Source organism: Homo sapiens, chromosome 1, assembly GCF_000001405.40.
Source record: "Homo sapiens chromosome 1, GRCh38.p14 Primary Assembly".
NCBI lineage: Eukaryota > Metazoa > Chordata > Mammalia > Primates > Hominidae > Homo > Homo sapiens.
Window position 1 is genome coordinate 52,531,317 of NC_000001.11, and position 21,783 is coordinate 52,553,099.

The window sequence follows — 21,783 nt, forward strand, 5'->3', positions numbered from 1 at the left end:
CTGGGCTAAGACGATCCTCCCAGCTGATGTGGCTGGACTGGGGGGCCACACTTAATGAACCATGGCTGTAAGAAGTGATCCTGAAAGTGATCCTGAAAGCAGAAATGAAGGGACTTCTGTACAGTCTTACAGTGAACAATCTGATTCGTGTCAGTCTCCCCATGAGATTCTCAAGTCTATGAGGTAAGAAATCATTTCTGATTTTGCTTATCATTACATCTTCTGGGCATACCACAGTGCCTAATACAAAGTAGGCACCCAATAAATGGGTTAAATGGATTTTTTTAAAGTAATCTGAATTATTTTTAATTGTTCACACTTTAAAAATACATGAAATCCAAAAGATGTTTAATTGCATCATACTTTATGTTGTCTACAATATAACTAGGAAATGTCTCTCTTTCAGAAAGCTTTCCATAACCTACTCCTCCACCCTCTTACCCAGGGTGGGCTCAGATAAGTATGCCTCTTCTTAATGAACTCTTTTTACTTTTCTCACAGCACTTAGCACTTAAACCTATTTATGTTTTTACTTCCTATCTGAACAGTAGAGACTGTCTTTTCTCATCTTTTTTTTTTTTTTTTTTTTTTTTTTTTTGAGACAGAATCCCACTCTGCTGCCAAGCTGGAGTGCACTCTCAGCTCACTGCAACCTCCACTTCCCAGGTTCAAGCAAATCTCCTGCCTCAGCCTCCTGAGTAGCTGGGACTACAAGCGTGTGCTACCACGCCCAGCTAATTTTTGTATTTTTAGCAGATACGGGGTTTTACCATGTTGGTCAGGATGGTCCTGACCTCATGTTCTGCCCGCCTCGGCCTCCCAAAGTGCTGGGATTACCACGCCTGCCTCTAATCTGTTTTTAATAAAACAAATACATTTACATGGTTGAAAAACAGTACTCTCTTGCCAACTCCCAATTTCTCTCCTCAGAAGCAACTACCTACTTTCAGTTATTTTTATTTATCTCCATATTTCTAAATAACATGCTTAAGATAATACTTCTTGTTTTGTTTTAGCTTTTTTTTTTTATACAGTATCTCACTCTGTCACCCACGCTGGAGTGCAGTGGCGTGCAGTCATGGCTCACTGCAGCCTTGACCCCTGGGCTCAAGCGAGCCTCCCACCTCAGCCTCACAGGCACACACGACCACACCTGGCAATTTTTTAAAAAATTTTATGGAGACAGGGTCTCACCATGTTGCCCAGGCTGTCTCGAACTCCTGGGCTCAAGCGATCCTGCTGCCTTGGCCTACCCAAGTGCCGGGATTACAGGCATGAGCTACCATGCCCGGCCTTACCTATTATCTGCTAACTTCCTACATGAAAGGTATGGATTTAGCTATCTCAAATATTCCCCTTAAAAACATACATAACTGTGCAACGTAAGTACCTCCCCACCCTACCACCATCCTCCTAGGATGATTTTAATAAGATATGCCAATATTATTCACAGTTAAGCCAACTATACTGTAGCACAGAGTTTCCTAAATGTCCCTAAAAATTAACTTTCTCCTTTTTCCTGAGCACATGACTAGTCTACATTTCACAAACTTCTCTGCAGTCTGATGTGGCCTTCTGATAAAGTTCTCACTTCCTCATGCTCTCTTTCTCTTCTCACTGAATAAAATTTTCAACTGCCCCGCTTCAATCATTCAACCATCATGTTCTAATCCAGACCAGTGAGTCCCAAACTTTTGTGTATAGGAATAAACAACTAAATGCGATTCTGATTCAGTAGATTGGGAGTGGGTTCCAATATTCTGCATTTCAAACAAACCCAGGTCATGTCCACTCAGCTAGTCCTTGGCCATACTTTTGGTGAGACAGCAGGATCAATGTAACTTAGGCCCCTGAATGACCACATGGAACAAACTACTCATCTAGATTTCCTGACCATTTACCCAGCAACTATTATATGAGAAAGGAATAAAACTCTTTGTTTTTTAAGCCACTCTATTACTGGATCTAGCTTTTGACTTAAGAAATATATATACTTAATCACATTTCCCTTTTGGTATACTTTTCAGTTTTACCTGAAATTAATCACTTCATTTTTCTTAAGCTTCTTCTACATACCTATCAATAATTCATTGACAGAACTATAAATATCTTCTCAGTAAGATCAAACACATCAAGTAATTTGGTTTTGTTGTTGCTGTTCTCTCCTTGGATATCCCTTCTTGGGAGCTTTCTGGTCGTTACTATACTTTCACTACAGTTGTCGTTATACTGAGAGTTCCTTTCACTATCATCCTACCAATTCCCTTACGCTCTCTCATGCTGACTCTTCTTTTTAGCTCTTCCATGATTTATTCCCTTGTTTTTGGTGGAACATACCCTCCAGCAGCTTTCTAAGAAAGGAAACATGAGGCCAGGCACAGTGGCTCACGGCTGTAATCCGAGCACTTTGGGAGGCTAAGGCAGGTAGATCACTTGAGGCCAGGAGTTCAAGACTGGCCTGGCATGGCGAAATCTCGTCTCTATTAAAATACAAAAAAATTTAGCCAGGTGTGGTAGCACACACCTGTAATCCCAGCTACTGGGGAGAATGAGGCACAAAAATCGTTTGAACCTGGGAGGCGGAGATTGCAGTGAGCTGAGATTGCACCACTGCACTCCAACTTGTGCAACAGTGTGCGACTCAGTCTCAAAAAAAGGAAGAAAACATGAAAGATATTGAAGAAAATAATTATGTCCCACTTTCGATATTTCATTCTATGTAGACGGATACCCGTTATCATAACATCCCTGACCTCTTTCCACTCCCCTCATTCATTCCTTGCCTAAGGAGAAGAGGTAACTTACTTCATCAGTGAGTTTGGGAAAATAATCCAGACAAAACTTAGCCCCGTCCCCTCTCCTTCCCATTCTGTTCCATCATACTCTAACATTTACAGGTGTAAGGCTCACATAGGGCCTGCAGTTGTTCAGCTCTGCCAGTTCCTGAGGGCTAAGTCTGCCTAATTCTGGCACTCGGTATCAGTAAACCAGTTGAAAGTATAAGCCGCCTTCTCCAAACTGAACGTGATCAAAAATAAAATTATAAAAACTAAATAAAAATAAAATTATCTTCTGGTCTCCATATGCTTCCTTCGTTTCACCCAATTTGTTGAAAATTCAGGAAAGCAAAAGGGGTGCTATTTATTGGACCCCCGTAAACTCCAACCAGAAGTAAATTTTATAAAACTGCATATTTGAAATATCTTTATTGTATCTTCACACCTCATTTAGTTAGGTATAAAATTCTAGGTTAGGGCCAGGCACGGTGCTTCATGCCTGCAATCCCAGCACTTTGGTAGATTGAGGCGGGAGGATCATTTGAGTTCAGAAGTTCAAAGCCAGCTCAGGCAACATGGCAAAACCCTGTCTCTACAAAAAAAAAAAAAACAAACAAAAATCAGCCAAATGTGGTGGCGCATGCCTGTGGTCCCAGCTACTTGGGAGGCTGAGGTGGAAGAATCACTTGAGCCCAGGAGGTCAAGGCTGCAGTGAGCCGTGATGGCACCACTGAACCCCAGGCTGGGCGACAGTGCAACACCCCGTCCCCAAAAAAATAAAATAAAATTCTAGGTTAGAAATTATTCATTCAAAATGTTTTCAATGATTTCTAGTTTCTGGGACTAGCACTGAGAAAATTATGCCATTCTTATTCTTTACCTTTTTTACTGACCTGTTTTTTTCTCTAAGAAAACTTCTAGGATGATCTCTTTGCTTTGGTATTCTGAAATTTCCAAGCAATAAGCCTGCTGTAGATATCTCCTCATTCATCTTGTTGCATAGTCATCTTGTTGCATAGTCAGCTGGCTCTGTTCATCAGTAATTCACATCATTCACTTCTGTAAAATTTTTTTCTTCTATCTACTATAAATTCCTCCTTTTCATCTTTTCTGTTCTCTTTCTATTGCTCCTATTAATTAGACTTGGGCCTCCTAAATTGATTCTCCAATTTTCTTATCTTTTCTCTCCATTTTTCCACCTTTCTTTTTGTTCTCCTTCCTAGGTGATTTCCTCAACTCTATCTTCCAACTCTTCTATCATATTTTTATTTCTAAGAACTCTCTCTAATTATTCCTTTTCACAGCACTCTGATCTTGTTTCATAGTTATAATCTCATATTTCTAAAGACCACTAATATTCAGAACACTAAAATTCTTTCTCAAACTTTTTTCTGCCCTCTGTATTTTTTGTTCTCTGGCATTTTGTTCCCTGGGCAATACTGTTCATTTTCTTCTCTACCAAGCGTACCAACATATGCATAATAGGAGTCACAGAAAGAAGAAAGAGAAGGGTGTAGAAAAAATATTTGAAGAAACAATGGTCAGAAACTTCCCCAATCTGATGAAAGACACAAGTATATACCTCCACAAAGCTCAATAAACTTTAAGCAGCGTAAACTCAAAGAAATCCACACTGAGACAGAGTCAAATTGTCAAAACCAAAGAGAACTTTGAAAGAAGCAAGAAAATTTAACTCATCAAACAAAAGTTAACAGCTGATTGCCCATAAGAAACCATGGAAATGAGAAGGCAATGCAGTGACATATTTGAAGTCCTAAAAGAAAAAAGCTGTGAACTAAGAATTCTCTAGCCAGTAAAACCGCCTTTCAAGAATGAAGGAGAAATTATATTTCCAGATAAACAAAAAGTGAGAAAGTTCATTCTGCCGTACAAGTGCTAAAAGAAATTCTTAATGCTGAGATGAAAAGACATTAGACAATAATTCAAATCCATAACAAGAAATAAAGAACACTAGTAAAAATAACTACATAGGTAAATATAAAAGCCAATGTTATTGTAATTTTGGTAACTCTTGGGTTTTTCCCTTTTACATGATTTAAAAGACAAATGCATAAAAATTCATTACAAACCTCTGTTAATAGGCACAAACTATATAAAGATGTAATCTGTGACAATAAAAATATAAAGGAGGAGAGAAAGATGAGTAGGAGCAGAGTATTTGCGTACTATTTAAACTAAGCTGGCATTATTCAAACTAGGTTGTTATAAATTTAAGATGTTAATTACATCATTATCCCCAAGGCATCCACTAAGAAAGTAACACACACACACAAAATCAAAACAGGATTATAATTCTATAAAAAATCAACTAAATACATAAAAAGGCAGCATTAGAGGAACAAAAGGCATAAAAAACATATGGAAAAGAAAGAGCTAAATGGCAGAAGTAAATCCATCCTTACCAGTAATTACTTTAAATGTAAATGAATTAAACTTTCCAATTAAAAAGAGAGATTGGCCAGGCGTGGTGGCTCACGCCTGTAATCCCAGCACTTTGGGAGGCCGAGGTAGGTGGATTACCTGAGATCAGGAGTTCACAACCAGCCTGGAGAACATGGTGAAACCCTGTCTCTACTAAAAATACGAAAAAATAAGAGGGCGTGGTGGTGGGTGCTTGTAATCCCAGCTACTTGGGAGGCTGAGGCAGGAGAATCACTTGAACCCAGGAGGTGGAGGTTGCAGTGAGCCGAGACTGTGCCACTGCACTCCAGCCTGGGCAACAAGAGTTTCGTCTCAAAAAAGTAACATTAAATTAAATTTTAAAAAATAGGCCGGGCGCGGTGGCTCACGCCTGTAATCCCAACACTTTGGGAGGCCAAGGCAGGCGGATCATGAGGTCAGGAGATCGAGACCACCCTGGCTAACACGGTGAAACCCCGTCTCTACTAACAAAAAATTAGCCGGGCATGGTGGCGTGCGCCCATAGTCCCAGCTACTTGGGAGGCTGAGGCAGGATAATCGCTTGAACCCAGGAGGCGGAGGTTGCAGTGGGCCGAGATTGTGCCACTGCACTCCAGCAGCCTGGGCAATAATAGTGAAACTCCATCTCAAAATAAATAAATAAATAAAAATTAAAAAAAAGAGAGAGATTGGCAAATTGGAAAACACAATCTATCATCTATCTACAAGATTCACTTTAGATACAAAGAGCAAAGGCGTTATAAGAAAAAATGAAAACAGATACTCCATGCAAAGAGTAACAAAGAGAGAGCTGGGGCTAAATTATTACCAGATAAAATAACACTTTAAGTCAAAAAAGGTTACAAAACACAAAGATAGATATTATATATTGATAAAAGGTTCAATCCAGCAAGGACATATAACAGTTATAAACATATGCACCTAACAACAGTGACCTAAAATACAGGAAACAAAAGTTAACACAATTGAAAAGAGAAATTGTTCTATAATCATACTTAGGAGACTTCAATACCCCACTTTTCAATAACAGAACAACCAGACAGAAAATCAAAAAGGAAACAGAGGATTTGTGTAACACTATAAACTAATTTGACTGGCTCAGCGCGGTGGCTCATGCCTGTAATCTCAGCACTTCGAGAGGCCAGGGCAGGTGGATCACCTGAGGTCAGGAACTCAAGACCAGCCTGGCCAACATGGCGAAATCCCATCTCTACTAAAAATACAAAAATTAGCCAGGCATGGTGGCGCGTGCCTGTAATCCCAGCTACTCAGGAGGCTGAAGCAGGAAGATCGCTTGAACCGAGAAGGCAGTTTGCTGTGAGCTGAGATCGGGCCACTGCACTCCAGTCTGGGCAACAAGAGCAAAACTGTCTCAAAAATGAATAAATAAATAAATAAACAAACAAACTAATTAGACTGGCTGGGCATGGCGGCTCATGCCTATAATCTCAGCACTTTGGGAGACCAAAGGGGGCAGATCACTTGAGGTCAGGAGTTCAAGAAAAGCCTGGGCAACATGGTGAAACCCCGTCTCTACTAAAAATACAAAAATTAGCCGGGTGTGGTGGCCCACACCCATAGTCCCAGCTGCTTGGGAAGCTGAGGCACAAGAACCGCTTGAATCCAGGAGGTGGAGGTTGCAGTGAGCCAAGACTGCATCGCTGCACTCCAACCTGAGCGAAAGAGCAAGACTCCATCTCAAAAAAATAAAATAAAATAATTAGACCTAACAGATATATAAAGACTCTATCCAACATCAGCAGAATATACATTCTATCCCCAATGGGCATGTAACATGAAAGACAAATAAATGCTCTTGTTTTGGCAACTGAGAAAAAAAAAGGGAGCTGGGTGCGGTGGTTCATGCCTGTAATCACAGCACTTTTGGAGGACAAGCTGGGAGGACCGCTTGAGTCCAGGAGTTTTAGACCAGCCTAGGCAACACAGGAGACTCCATCTCTACAAAATATAAAAAATTAGCCAGGCACCTGTAGTCCCAGTCTCAGGAGGCTGAAGTGGGAGGATCACTTGCACTTGGGAGGTGAAGGCTACAGTGAGCTGCAATCATGCCACTGCACTCCAGCCTAGGCAACAGAGCAAGACTCTGTCTAAAAAAAAAAAAAGAAAAGAAAAGAAAAAAAAAAAAGAAAAATGAAAAAGAAGATTAAAAAAACATGAATGATCAAAGAATCCTATCATATCTTTCCTTACTAATATTACTTCCCTGAATTAAACATTTATTCTAAAAATGATGATGCAGAAGGAAAGGGAAAGATAGTGCAATTCATATCTCCTTTTCCTTTCATTCCTGCCTTACTTACCACCAAGTTAAAGAGAGTGTTGAAGCCAGGTAAAGTGGCTTACACCTGTAATCCCAACACTTTAGGGCACCAAGACAATTCTCCCACCTCAGCCTCCCAAAGGAATCCCGGAATTACAGATGTGAACCACCACTAGTTATACAATTTGGAGATAATTTGTACTGGGTTGCGAAGTTACAGAATCACTATTTCAATAGGGTAAGGAACACAACAGTAATCATGCCGATGAAGGGAAAGGATAAAGCCAAAAAGAGGCTTTACAGTGAAATTAGGGATAGATTAAAAAAACTAAAGAAACATTAAAAATACATATACAGATAATTCAGAAAATTTTGGTGGGAAGAATCATTTTGAATGATATGAATAGGAGCTATCAAGGAAAGTAGAGTTGAATATCACTAGAAGATAGAAATTAAGGAAATAAAGTGTCAGATAACATTCAATGTTATGCTTCCCACTGCCCAATATGGATGTCAGGAATTACACCAAAGTATCAGTGAATATAAAGGGGTGACCTACAGATTCCCAGATTGAAATGACAATGACAGATAAGAAATATAGCCAGCAGGACACCAGTCTCACAAGAGAACGAAGAATAGACAGTAGGTAGTAAACTATGGATATAATTTCCTGGCTTTGAGGAAACAGGTATGGGGGGGAAAGCAATGTTCAAGACACATTAACAATGCCACAAGTTCCTACAAAAAGTCCCGGAGCTCTTACAAATTTTCAGTTTTAAAAAAAGATGGCAGTGCAGGGCGCGGTGGCTCATGCCTATAATCACAGCACTTTGGGAGGCCGAGGCGGCCTGAAATGCTCATGACCTCAGAGGTCCTGAGGTCAGAGTTTGAGACTAGCCTGACAACATGGTGAAACCCTGTCTCTACCAAAAATACAAAAATTAGCTGGGAGTGGTGGCTCACGTCTATAATCCCAGCTACTCAGGAGGCTGAGGAAGAAGAATCACTTGAACCAGGAGGCGGGGGTTGCAGTGAGCCAAGATTATGCCATTGCACTTTGGCCTGGGTGACAAGAGCAAGACTCCGTCTTAAAAAAAAAAAAACAAAAAAAACAGGCCAGGCGCGGGACTACAGGCTCACACCTGTAATCCCAGCACTTTGGGAGGCCAAGGCGGGCAGATCACGAGGTCAGGAGATCGAGACCATCCTGGCTAACAAGGTGAAACCCTGTCTCTACTAAAAATACAAAAAAATTAGCTGGGCATGGTGGCGGGCGCCTGTGTTACCAGCTACTCGGGAGGCTGAGGCAGGAGAATGGTGTGAACCCGGGAGGCAGAGACTGCAGTGAGCCAAGATCATGCCACTGCACTCCAGCCTGGGTGACAGAGCGAGACTCTGTCTCAAAAAAAAAAAAAAATGGCCGGACGCGGTGGCTCATGCCTGTAATCCCAGCACTTTGGGAGGCCAAGGCGGGTGGATCACGAGGTCAGGAGTTCAAGACCAGCCTGGGCAACACAGCGAAACCCCATCTCTACTAAAAAGACAAAAAAATTGCAGGGTGTGGTGGCATGCACCTGTAGTCCGACTTCTCAGGAGGCTGAGGCAGAAGAATCACTTGAACCGGGGAGGTAGAGATTGCAGTGACCTAAGATCGCACCACTGCACTCCAGCCTGGGCGAAAGAGCAAGACTCCGACTCAAAAAAAAAAAAAGAAAGAAAGAAAGAAAAAAAAGACAAACACTACCTGTCTAGCATGCCCATTCACTTATCCTTACACATTTGTGAAGTTACTATAATTAGAGTCTTGCAGTATTTCCATTTTATACATTAATGAGGCACCCTGTTTATGACTTGCCTAAGATAACACAAATGGGACTGGTATATGACTACAAGAAACATGACTCCCAATTTTTGGTCCAAGTTTATGTACTAGAGTATGTCTCTAAGCCTAAATCAGTAATTCTCAAACTTTTTGGTCTCAGAATACCTTTATACTCTTAAAATACTGAGGATCCAAAGAACCTTTGTCTTTGTGTGTTATATCTATTGATACATGCATCGTTAAGATTATTAAAACTGAGAAATTTTTCAAATACAAGAATACACTGGCCAGACGCAGTGGCTCACGCCTGTAATCTCAGCACTTTAGTAGGCCGAGGCAGGCAGATCACCCAAGGCCAGGAGTTAGGGACCAGCCTGGCCAACATGGTAAAACACTGTCTCTACTAAAAATACAAAAATTAGCTGGGCATGGTGGTGTACACCTGTAATCTCAACTACTAGGGTGACTGAGGCACAAGAATTGCCTGAACCCAGGAGGAGGCAGAGGTTGCAGTGAGCCAAGATCACGCGACTGCACTCCAGCCTGGGCCACAGAGCGAGACTCTGTCTTAAAAAAAAAAAAAAAAAAAGAAGAAGTAAAACTTCTACATCAGGCTGGGCACGGGGGCTCACGCCTGTAATCCTAGCACTTTGGGAGTCCAAGGCAGTGGATTACCTGAAGTCAGGAGTTCGAGACTAGCCTGGCCAATGTGGTGAAACCCCATCTCTACTAAAAATACAAAAATTAGCTGAACATGGTGGCAGGCGCCAGTAATCCCAGCTACTTGGGAGGCTGAGGCAGGAGAATCGCTTGAACCCAGGAGGCAGAGGTTGCAGTGAGCCAAGATCGCGCCATTGCGCTCCAGCCTGGGTGACAGAGCGAGACTCCGTCTCAAAAAAAAAAAAGAAAGAAACTCCTACATCATATCACATTAAAAAAAAAAACTCAAAATGGATCAAAGACCTAAATGTAGAAGCTAAAAGTGTAAAACTGTTAGAAGAAAACATAGGAGTAAATCTTCATAATCTTGGATCAACAATGATTTTTTAGGTATGACACTTAAAGCAAAGAAAACTAAAGAAAAGAGATAAATGGGACTTCATCAAATTTAAAACTTTTGTATTTCAATGAGCACACTCAAGAAAATGAAAAAACAGTATGACAACTCCTCAAAAAATTAAACATAGAATGATCCAACAATTCCTATTCTAAGTATACACCCAAATAACCAAAAGCAGAAACAGGTATTTGAACATCAACGTTCAAAGAAGCATTATTCACGATAGCCAAAATGTGAAGGCAACCCAAGTATCCACCAACAGATGAATGGATAAACAAAATGTGGGACATATATATAATGAACTACTACTCTGCCTTAAAAAGGTAGACAATTCTGACACATGCTATGACATGGATGAACTTTGAAGACATTATGCTATATGAAAGAAGCCAGTCACAACAAATATTATATGAGTCTACTGATACGCAGTACCTACAGCAGTCAAAATCATAGAGAAATAAAGTAGAATGGTGGTTGCTAGAGGTTAGGAAGCAAGGAAAATGAGAATTTATTGTTTGACGGGTACAGAGTTTCAGCTTGGGAAAATGGAAATGTTCTGGAAATGGATGGTGGTGATAGTTGCACAATAATGTAAATAAATTTAATGTCACTGAATGTATGCTTAGCTACCTGGGAGGCTGAGGCTTAAAATGAAAATAGTATAAACATTCATGCAAAAATCCACAACAGAATACTAGCAAACTGAAATCAGCAGCACAGTTAAAGAATTGTACACCACGATCAAATGGGATTTATTCCTGGAATGCAAGGATGGTTCAACATATGAAAACAGATCAATGTAACACACATTAACCAAACAAAACGAAAAACCACATGATCATCTCAATTGATGCAGACGAAGAATCTGACAAAATTCAATACCCTTTCATGATAAAAACACTCAACAATCTAGGAATAGAAAGAAACTACTTCAATATAATAAAAGCTATCTAAGGAAAACCTACAGTAGACATCATACTCAATGATAAAAATGAAAACCTTTTCCTCTAACATCAAGACAAGGGAAAGATGTCTGTTTTCACCATTTCTTTTTATTTATTTATTTATTTATTTTTTTTTGAGGCAGAGTTTCACTCTTGTTGCCCAGGCTGGAGTGCAATGGCACGATCTCGGCTCACCGCAACCTCCGCCTCCCAGGTTCAAGCGATTCTCCTGCCTCACCCTCCCAAGTAGCTGGGATTACAGGCCACTATGCCCAGCTAATTTTGTATTTTTAGTAGAGACAGCGTTTCTCCATGTTCGTCAGGCTGGTCTCGAACTCCTGACCTCAGGTGATCCACCCACCTCAGCCTCCCAAAGTGCTGGGATTACAGGCGTGAGCCACCATGCCCGGCCTGTGTTCACCATTTCTGCTCAACACAGTACTGGAAGTTCTAGCCAACGCCATTAGGCAAAAGAAACAAAACGCATCTCAATTGGAAAAGAAGAAGTAAAATTATCTCAGTTTGCAAATAATATGATTTTATATGTAGAAAACCCTAAAGATTATACACACACACACAACTAAAAAATGGATTCAGCAAAGTAGCAGGACACAAAGTCAACACACGAAAAACCAGCTGCATTTCTAAACACAATAAATAATCTAAAGGGAAATTTTAAAAATTCCATTTACAATACCATCAAAAAGAATAAAGTACTAAGGAATTACATAACCAAAGAAGTGAAAGACATGTACAATGAAAACTATAAAACATTGCTGAAAGAAATTTAGAAATATATAAACAGAAACACATTCTATGTCCACAGACCAAAAGACTTAATTTTTTTTTTTTTTTTTTTGAGATGGAGTCTCGCTCTCTCTCCCAGACTGGAGTGCAATGGCGCAATCTCAGCTCACTGCAACCTCCGCCTCCCGGGTTCAAGCGATTCTCCTGCCTCAGCCTCCTGAGTAGCTGGGATTACAGGTACCTGCCACTGGGCCCAGGTAATTTTTGTATTTTTAGTAGGGACAGGGTTTCACCATGTTGGTCAGGCTGGTCTTGAACTCCTGACCTCAGGTAATCCACCAGCCTCGGCCTCCTAAAGTGCTGGGATTACAGGCATGAGCCACTGTGCCTGGCCTTACTGTTGTTAAAATGTCCACACTACCCAAAGCAATCTAAACATTTAATGCAATCCCTATCAAAATTCCAATGACATTTTTTGCAGAAATACCAAAATCAATCCTAAAATTCACATGGAATCTCAAGAGACCCCAAATAGCCAAAAGTCTTGACAAAGAAAAACAAAAGTGGAGGACTCATACTTCCTAGTCGCAAAACTTACTACAAAGCTACAATAATCAGGCTGGGCACAGTGGCTCATGCCTGTAATCCCAGCACTTCGGGAGGCCGAGGCAGGCAGATCACAAGGTCAGGAGATGAGACCATCCTGGCGAACATGGTGAAACCCCGTCTCTACTAAAAATACAAAAACTTAGCCGGGTGTGGTGGTGGGCGCCTGTAGTCCCAGGCTACTCGGGAGGCTGAGGCAGGAGAATGGCATGAACCTGGGAGGCGGAGCTTGCAGTGAGCTGAGATCGTGCCAGTGCACTTCAGCCTGGGCGACAGAGTGAGACTCCATTTCAAAAAAAAAAAAAAGCTACAGTAATCAAAATAGTATGGTATTAGTATAAATACATACAGACAGACCAATGGAATCAAACAGACCAGAAATAAACCCTCACATATGTGGTCAAATAATTTTTAACAAGGATGACAAAGCCATTCAATAGGGAAAGGACAGTCTTTTCAGCAAATGGCGCTGGGAAAACTGGTAATCCATCTGCAAAAGATTGAATTTTGACCATAAACAAAAATTAACTCAAAATGGATCAAAGACCTAAGAAACCTAAACTTGTAACTATAAAACCATAACTAAGAAACATAAAACTATAAGGCTCTTAGACGAAAACAAAAGGGAAAAGCTTCATGACACTGGAGTTGGCAATTATTTGTTGAGTATGACACCAAAGGCACGGGCAACAAAAGAAAAAATGGACAAACTAGACTGGCTGAAAATTTAAAACTTTTGTTAATCAAAAGACACTATCAACTGAGTAAAATGGTGGCCAGGCTAGGCATGGTGGCTCACACCTATAATCCCAGCACTCTGGGAGGCCCAGCCAGGAGGATCACTTGAGGTCAGGAGTTCAAGGCCAGCCTATGCAACATAGTGAGACCCTGTCTCTACAAAAATCTTAAAATTCGAGTGTCGTGGTGACATGTGCCTGTAGTCCCAGCTACTCCAAAGGCTGAGGTGGGATGATCTCTTGAGCCCAGGGAGGTCAAGGCTGCACTGAGCCATGATTGCGCCACTGCACCCCAGCCTAGGGGACAGAGTGAGACCTTGTCCCCAAAAAAAAAAAAAAGCCAGAAAAGAAACAGAGTAAAGGCCAGGCATGGTGGCTCATGCCTATAATCCTTGTACTTTGGGAGGCCGAAGTGAGTGGAACATTTGAGGTCAGGAGTTCAAGACCAGCCTGGCCAACATGGTGAAATTCCGTCTCTACTAAAAATACAAAATTTAGCTGGGCAGTAGTGGCAAGCGCCTGTAATCCCAGCTACTCAGGAGAATGAGGTAGGAGAATTGCTTGAGCCTGGGAGCTGGAGATTGTGGTGAGCCAAGATTGCGCCACTGCTCTACAGTCTGGGTGACAGAGAGTAAGACTCTGTCTCAAAAAAAAAAAAAAAAGTAACCCCACAGAACAGAATGGAAGAAAATATTTATAAATCATGTATCTGATAAGGGACTAATATCCAGAATATATAGCAACTCCAAAAAATGAACAAAAAATGACCTGATTTGAAAATGGGCAAAGGGCTGGCATAGACATTTCTCCAAAGAAGATATACAGACGGCCACAAGCACGTGAAAAGATGCTGAATATCACTAATCATTAGGGAAATGCAAATCAAAACTCCAATGAGATACCAACTCACAACCCATAGGACAGGACTACTATTAAATAAATAGAAAATAGCAAGTGTTGGCAAGGCTGTGGAAATATCAGAACCTCTGTGCACTGTTGGTAGGAACGTAAAATGGTACAGCCACTATGGAAAACAATATAGCAGTTCTTCAAAAAATTAAAAATATACTCAATGATGCTAAGGTGTCAAAAATAATAATAATAATAGGCCAGGCGCGATGGCTCATGCCTGTAATCCCAGCAGTTTGGGAGGCCGAGGCAGGCACATCACTTGAGCTCAGGAGTTTGAGACCAGCCTGGGCAATATGGTGAAACTGCATCTCTACAAAAATACAAAAAAAAAAAAAAAAAAAAAAATTGGCCAGGTGTGGTCGCAAGCGCCCACAGTCCCACCTACTCAAGAGGCTGAGGTGGGAGGATGGCTTGAGCCCAGGAGGCAGAGGTTGCAGTGAGCCAACACCATGCCACTGCACTCCAGCTTGGGAGACAGAGCCAGATCTTGTCTCATAAATAAATAAATAGAAGAAGAAGAATAAAATTACCATATGATCCAATAATTTCACTTCTGGGTATATACCAAAAAAATTGAAAGCAGGCTAAGAGATACTGTACACTCATGTTCACAGCAGCATCATTCACAATAGCTAAAACATGGAAATAACCCAAGTGTCTACTCATAGACAAAGGGATAAGCAAAATGTGATATATCTATACAATGGAATGTTATTCAGCCTTAAAAAAGAAGGAAATTCTGCAATATGCCACATGATGAACCTTGAGGACACTATGCTAAGTGAAATAAGCCACAAGACAAATATTGTATGATTCAATTTATATGAGGTATTTAGAGTAGTCAAAATCGTAAAGACAGAATAGTGGTTGTCAGGGGTGAGGGAAGAAGGGAACGGGAAATTATCATTTAATGGGTATAGAGTTTCAGTTTTATAAGATGAAAAGGGTTATAGGGATGGATGGTGATGATGGCTGCACAACATTATGAATGTATTTAATACCACTGAATGATACACTTAAAAATCATTAAGATGATATGTTGTGTTATGTATATTTTACTGCAATTTTTAAAAGTTGGAAACAAGTTTAAATGGTTAATTTGTTATGTACACTTTATCACAATTTTTAGAATCTTTTTTAAGGTGAATAGACACTCCACAAAATGAGACAGCATTTTTGTAAATAATATATCTAAAAAGGGTCTAGCCTGGGCGAGATGGCTCATACCTGTAATCCTGGCACTTTCGGAGGCTGAGGAAGGAGGATCATTTGAGGCCAGGAGTTTGAGACCAGCCTAGACAACATAATGAGATCCTGTCTCTACAAAAATAAATAAATCAATCAAAAAAATTAGCTGGGCATGGTGGCATGCACCTGTAGTCCTAGCTACTCAAGAGGCTAAGGCAGGAGGATCGCTTGAGGCCCAGGAGGTGGAGGCCAGAAGGCAGAGGCTGCAGTGAGCCATGTTCACGCCACTGCACTTCAGCCTTGGTGATAGAGCAAGACTGTCTCAAAAAAAAAAGTGGGGGCATCTAGTATCCAGAATATATTGAGTTCTTAAAACTCAACAATTTTTAAAAACGGGTAAAGGATTTGAATAGGTATCTTTCCAAAGGAGATAGACAAATGCACAACAGGCACATGAAGAGATGCTCAACATCTTATTAATCATTAGGGAAATGCAAATCAAACCCACAATGAGGTAGTGAGATAGTGGGTGAAGTGTCACCCACTAGATGATAGTGAGGATGTAGAGAAATTGGAACCTTCCATACATTGCCACTGAGAATGTAAAATGGTACAACTTTGGAAAACAGTTTGGCAGTTCCTCATAAAGTTAATCATAAGTTTATCGAAACACCCAGCAATTACAATCTGGGTATATACCCAAGAGAAATGAAAATGTACATCCACACAAAAACGTTTAACTATGTTCACAGCAGCACCATTCCTTATAGGCAAAAAGTAGAAATAACCCAAATGTCCATCAAATGATGAATGGTTAAACAAAACGTGGTATCTCCATAGAAGGTAATACTATTCAGCCAGAAAAAAGCTAAAACATGCTACACTATGGCCAACCTTGAAAACATTAAGTTCAGTGAAAGAAGCCAGGCACAAAAAGCCACATACTATATAATTCCTTGTATATGTAATGTCCATAATTTCTAGAGACGTAGCTTAGTGCTTGCCAAAGGCTTGGAGGAGGAAGGAATGGGGAGTGATTGTTAATGGGAACTGGGTTTCATTATGGGATAAAAACATTCCAAAATTAAATAGTGATGGTTACACAACCTTATAAATATACTAAAAGCCACTGAATTGTATCTTTTAAAAGTGTGAATTTTATGGTATTGTAAATTATATCTCAAAGAAAAAAGGGGAAAAAAATACACTATTACACATTACATTAGCCATCAAAGCAATAAAGTCTTCACATGTCACCCCAGACCAGAGAATAAGGGAAAAGTCAAATTGTGTCTTAATATTACCATGAAAACAGTTTGACTCAGAGACACCCCTCTCCAAAAGGTCCCCATAGTTTGAATACCACTGGCCTAAACTAATACTCAGCACATGACTAGCACTTAATGAACACTTAATGACTGGTCAATTAAATTATTTAAACTATAGTGTTAGTTAAATATTTAATTTAATAATTATATTATTAAACTACACACTGACAAAATGCAATCAGGCTTAGTCATTCTCTATAATTCATACTTTGCATATTTGCAAAATATTTTTAACAACCTATGTGACTACAGAATTTAACTCTCTGTACACAAAATTTTGACACCCTAAACTTGAAGGTACAACACAGTACAGTGGCAAAGAGCTGTGACTCTAGACTCAGACACTTTGAGTTCAAATCCTGACTGCAGCAAACTAGCTATGAGATATTGTCCAAGGTACTCAATCCTTCTACATGGACTTTTCCCATCTATAAATGAGAATAATATAAAAAGGGTTGTTTTGAAGACTAAGTTAACACTTCAAAGATCTTGAGAAAGAAATTAGCTCATAGTAACTATGCAATAAGTTATCTATTATCATTGTAAATCAAATATCCACTTAAAGCAATCAGATTGTTGTGTGGTTAACAAACATACCTATTTCTTTTTAAAAGTACAAGATGCCTTATGTAAAGATTAGGACTTTGCCCATCTATAGTGGTGAACATCAAACTTGCATGAATAGCGTCTCCCTTCTTCCAGCCCATGCTCTTCAATGCCTTAAGCTATTGTTTTCTAGAGCTAAACTAGAAAATAGTCAACTAATCCAAGCCAACAAGTGAAAAAACTTCCTAAGTAGTATAACAAGGTGATCTCCCCCAGAGGTGTTTTCATCCCAAAAGACTTTTCCAAAAAATTAAAAGTTCTTGGACAGTAAGATTTGGATCACAGAATTCTCAAGATAAAAGTCTAGAATATAGGGAGAGGAGAGAAGAGTGGTACGGAAAAGAAGGCTTGCCTATCCACTAAAAACGGGTAAACTCTGTTAGCTAGGAAGCCAAGGAGAAAAAAATACAAAACTAGGAGTCAGAAAACATAGTTCTAATCACAGCTCAACCACTATCTCACTTGGTGATCTCACAAGATAAAAATTCAAACACCTTAATACAACATAAATGGTCCCTCACAATTTGCTACTTCCAATCATTTATCTCACCATTCTATCCATATCAATTCCTACCACACTGAATTTCTCACTCTCCCTCACTCCCCAAGGCTCATTACAATTTATCATCTTTGCATGTTATTCCCTAGGTCTGGAATGACCTCCAACCTCCAGTCCATCTTCCTCTCCACCTAGCAAACTCCTACTCACCCTTCAAGAGCTAGTTTCTTCCCTCTCAACTCCCACAATCTAGTGTGTTGTAATTTACTGTATTATATGTAGACTGATACAAATGCAAATGTTTGATGAAATGAATGTTTAAATGAATGAATGAACAACCTTAGGCAGTTTCCCATTCTAAATAATTGAGAAAATAATACACCTGAAAAGCAACATCACATATACATTATATTAGGAAGAGAGATCTGCTTTGAAATCTAATTCTATGATCTTCAGCAAATCACTAACCTCTGTGACTCAAAGATTCCTCACCTATAAACAGGTTTCAAAGGGCTGTTACACTGAACGAGTGAAAAAAAAATGCATAAACAGTGTCTAGCGCAGTGCCTGGAACAAAACAGGCACTCTAAAAAGTTTTGGTTCCCTTCTCTCTCCCTCAACTCATAATTATAGATATCCAATGAGATGATGTGACATAAAAATAATTTGAACATAAGACACCACACAAATCTCTCACTTAAGGGGGAAAAATCCTAACATTAATCTTTGCATTTATATACCCTTTCTTCTCCTTGGGCCTGTAAGAAATACTCCGGAGGAAAAGTCGGAACCTGCTTTTTCAGAGTGTGTGGTTTATTTGAATATAGTCTGTACATAATAAAATAAAGATTTAAAAAAGGAAAGAAAAATACTCTGCAGAAATGATGGTTTTTAAACATTTCCCCCAAATTATGTAATTATTTAGGATTCTAGAATTAAAACAATTCAGTTAGTACCCAGTAAACAACTCTAATTGCTCTAAGATTAATAACAAAAAGTCTACATATCCTGTTTTAAAGTATGGTGTCCCTTTCCTTTGACTTTTTTAGGTCTTTCTGGAATTGTTCTTTTTTAGAACGTATTTCTATCCTACTGCAGTGGCTTTAACTGAATTTAACATTTTTTAATCAATTCAAGTATTTGCAATTTATTTGAAAAAGGAACACAACTCATTGAGTTCTATTTTGTCAAACAAAATGTTCTGGCATCAACATTAACAGGTAAGTATTGCTTTTTTTTTTTTTTTTTTTTGTTTAAGACAGGGTCTTACTCTGTCGCCCAGGCTGGAGTACAGTGGCGCAACTGTGCCTCACTGCAACCTTGAACTCTGGGCTCAGGCAAACCTCCTACCTCAGCTTCTGGGACTACAGACGCACACCACCACGCCCAGCTAATTTCTTTTATTTTTTGGCAGTGACAAAGTCTCACTATGCTGCTCAGACTGATATCAAACTCCTACGCTCAAGCAATCCTCTCGCCTCCACTTCCCAAAGTGCTGAGATTACAGGCGTGAGTGAGCCACCTGGCCAGGCCCTACAGGTAAGTGTTGGTTATTTTGTTTCTCTGAAACTAGAAACTTTAACAGTGAATAAATTCAAACACCTTTCTTGATCAACAGATCCTGATTTGACATTCTGTAGAGAACACAACATAATTAATGGTACTTATTTTTATGTCAAGATTAACTTTGAGATAAAAAAGAATTCTAATTACTTACTCTAAAATGAATCTGCTGAGAGCTAATAAAAATTCTCTTTAAACAGCTCTTTGTTAATCAGAGAAATTTATAATTATACATTTTGATTCTAAAAGGTCTAAAATTAAAATGTAGACACTGTACTGTTCTAGCTCCAGCAACTAAAAATAAATGTAATTTTAGGTGTCACTTAGAATTTATAAACTTGAACTTATATGCATGACAATATTTGTTAATTTATCTGTACTAACAACTTGGCCTATGACAATGAAAATACTTTAAATTTCTTTTCTGTATTTAAATGTTTGCTGGATTTAAAACATCAAATGTCATTAACTTTCACTTCCATTTCTGAATTATTTTAAGAAAACTTCATTTTTCATTTTCCACACTAGCCAAGTGAAAAACTGCAAGCAGCAGAAAAATTTATCTAAGAGTTTTAAAAGTAAGTTTCTTTTGTTTATATTAAATATAAATATTTTTAAAGCATAAAACGACTTAAAATTCTTATCTTCCCCAAAGTATATGGTTTCTAAGAAGCAATCTTTAAAAATTTGTTTATAAAAGCAACATAGCACACTAGACACTAATGAGTTATCTTAAGCACAGCTTTTTAAGAGAATCAATATTTCATTTTACCAGTTGTGACTAATCAGTACTACGATGCAGTGTAGTGACATACATGAGTTCTAAGCCTAAAGAAAATTTCAGCGCGCTCGCGCGCGCACACACACACATACACACACACACACAAAGTCGGCTTTTCTTTTTAAACCATCCCACAATTCAACACCTCTCGGTGGTATTCTCTGAATTATCATATCTGGCTGGGATTATCCAATTTTATTAGCTAACAGTTCTCATTACTTTAAAAACAGAAACAGGATATGTTCTGTTTCATCAAGTGCTACAAACATTTCGCTGCTGTAAGACTGGAGGGAAAAAATCTTTGGAAATAAAAGGCCATCTGATCCACTCGGGCTAATTACTAAATGCATGCCAACAATACACAATTCGAATTGCATTTCTGGACACAATTTAAGATCACGATAGGGCAGGTCAAATGTGTAAGGAACTACTACTTCTATCAAAATGAAGAAGCAGATATACGGTATCTAAGATCTCACGCAAAATTCATCTAAGACTTCGAAATCTTCTGAAAAGAAAATGTGTAATCAACGTTGTTAATACAACAGTAATTCATCCCATTCAAGTACGACTAGAAATCCCGCTGATGTGCTTCTTTCAGGTCTAAACATCTCATTCTTTCGCAATCCAGATACCAACAGGAGTCTGAAACCCTTCGCAGAGGCGTGCAACACACTAGGAGAGCGCTATCTGTTTACAAATACGAATCTCAGTTACCCACGTCAAAACCGCGCATTACCACCTTTCGACTGGGGGGCGGGGGAGAGAGAAGGCGGGCGAGCAAGAAACAAAATCCACACAGACACCTCTGCCTTCTCCCTACAAGGACGAGCCCGGGGAAACATTCAGTATGTATTATATGCGTGTATACATTTATATACATTATGTAGTCACCTATGTCTAAGCAAGGGTGAAAGAAAAAGGTACACATGACAGGGAATCGTAACTGGACCCAACAGAAATGTTCAAACCAATCCCGTTAACTCAAAATCCGCCCCGCTGGTCTACAACAGGTTTCGGTCCGGGACCGGGAGCCCCAGCCACAGTGTGGAGTTCGTCCCCAAAGCGCCCCAATGCCCTCCTCAGGCCGCCCAGGCCGCCGTCCCCACCTCCCTTATCTCAGCCTTCCCCTGGGACACCCGAAGCCCGTTCCAGGAAAGAAAGAAGTGTCAGGCCCCCAGGGGGCGGCTGAGACGCTCTCAGGCCAGGCCCCCGACACCTGCGAAGCGCGGCACCTGGGGAGGGCGAACCGGGGGCCGCCCGGCCTTCCCGAGCACACCCCCTCGGTACCCGACGCTGCCCCGCGGCCGGAACCTCGTACCTGCGAGGCCCGCGAGCTACAGGCGCGCGCGACGCCTCCTCATCTCAGTGGCTCCTGCTCTCCCTCCGCCTCCTGCTGCCGCCGCCGTCGCCGCTGCCGCCGCTGGAGGCCGGGACACGACTAGCTCAGGACTCCACCGCCATGTCCGCCGCGCCGCGAACTGCATTGT

At 40.2% G+C, this 21,783-nt stretch overlaps 1 protein-coding gene and 1 long non-coding RNA gene across 52 annotated transcripts in view, besides 2 other annotated features; one reads left to right on the forward strand and one right to left on the reverse strand.

Moving 5' to 3' along the window:
- The window catches only part of TUT4 (terminal uridylyl transferase 4), a 130,189-nt gene that overhangs the window by 108,042 nt on the left and 364 nt on the right, over positions 1-21,783 (reverse strand). For 42 of the 50 annotated variants that reach the window (XM_047416416.1, XM_047416421.1, XM_047416417.1 and 39 more), the window contains exon 1: positions 21,615-21,776. The gene's annotated coding sequence lies outside the window, so the exon portion shown is untranslated. Of the gene's footprint in view, positions 1-21,614; positions 21,777-21,783 lie in introns of those variants that run through there. The other 8 variants (XM_017000804.3, XM_047416324.1, XM_047416327.1 and 5 more) reach the window with 1 other exon arrangement.
- Positions 66-21,521, forward strand: LOC105378723 (uncharacterized). Of its 2 annotated transcripts, none has more exons than XR_001738048.2 (4): positions 66-183; positions 19,364-19,488; positions 20,041-20,090; positions 20,895-21,521. It is a non-coding gene; the product is annotated as an uncharacterized LOC105378723 (long non-coding RNA). The 2 variants fall into 2 exon arrangements; XR_007066083.1 differs by having other exon boundaries at positions 20,925-21,521.
- Positions 986-1,045: an enhancer, noted in NCBI's record as "active region_1033". NCBI's record gives its function as "activates an Ori minimal core promoter by ATAC-STARR-seq in GM12878 lymphoblastoid cells {active_cell/tissue: GM12878}" and the evidence as "EXISTENCE:reporter gene assay evidence [ECO:0000049][PMID:35858748]".
- Positions 21,389-21,718: a silencer, noted in NCBI's record as "silent region_890". NCBI's record gives its function as "represses an Ori minimal core promoter by ATAC-STARR-seq in GM12878 lymphoblastoid cells {active_cell/tissue: GM12878}" and the evidence as "EXISTENCE:reporter gene assay evidence [ECO:0000049][PMID:35858748]".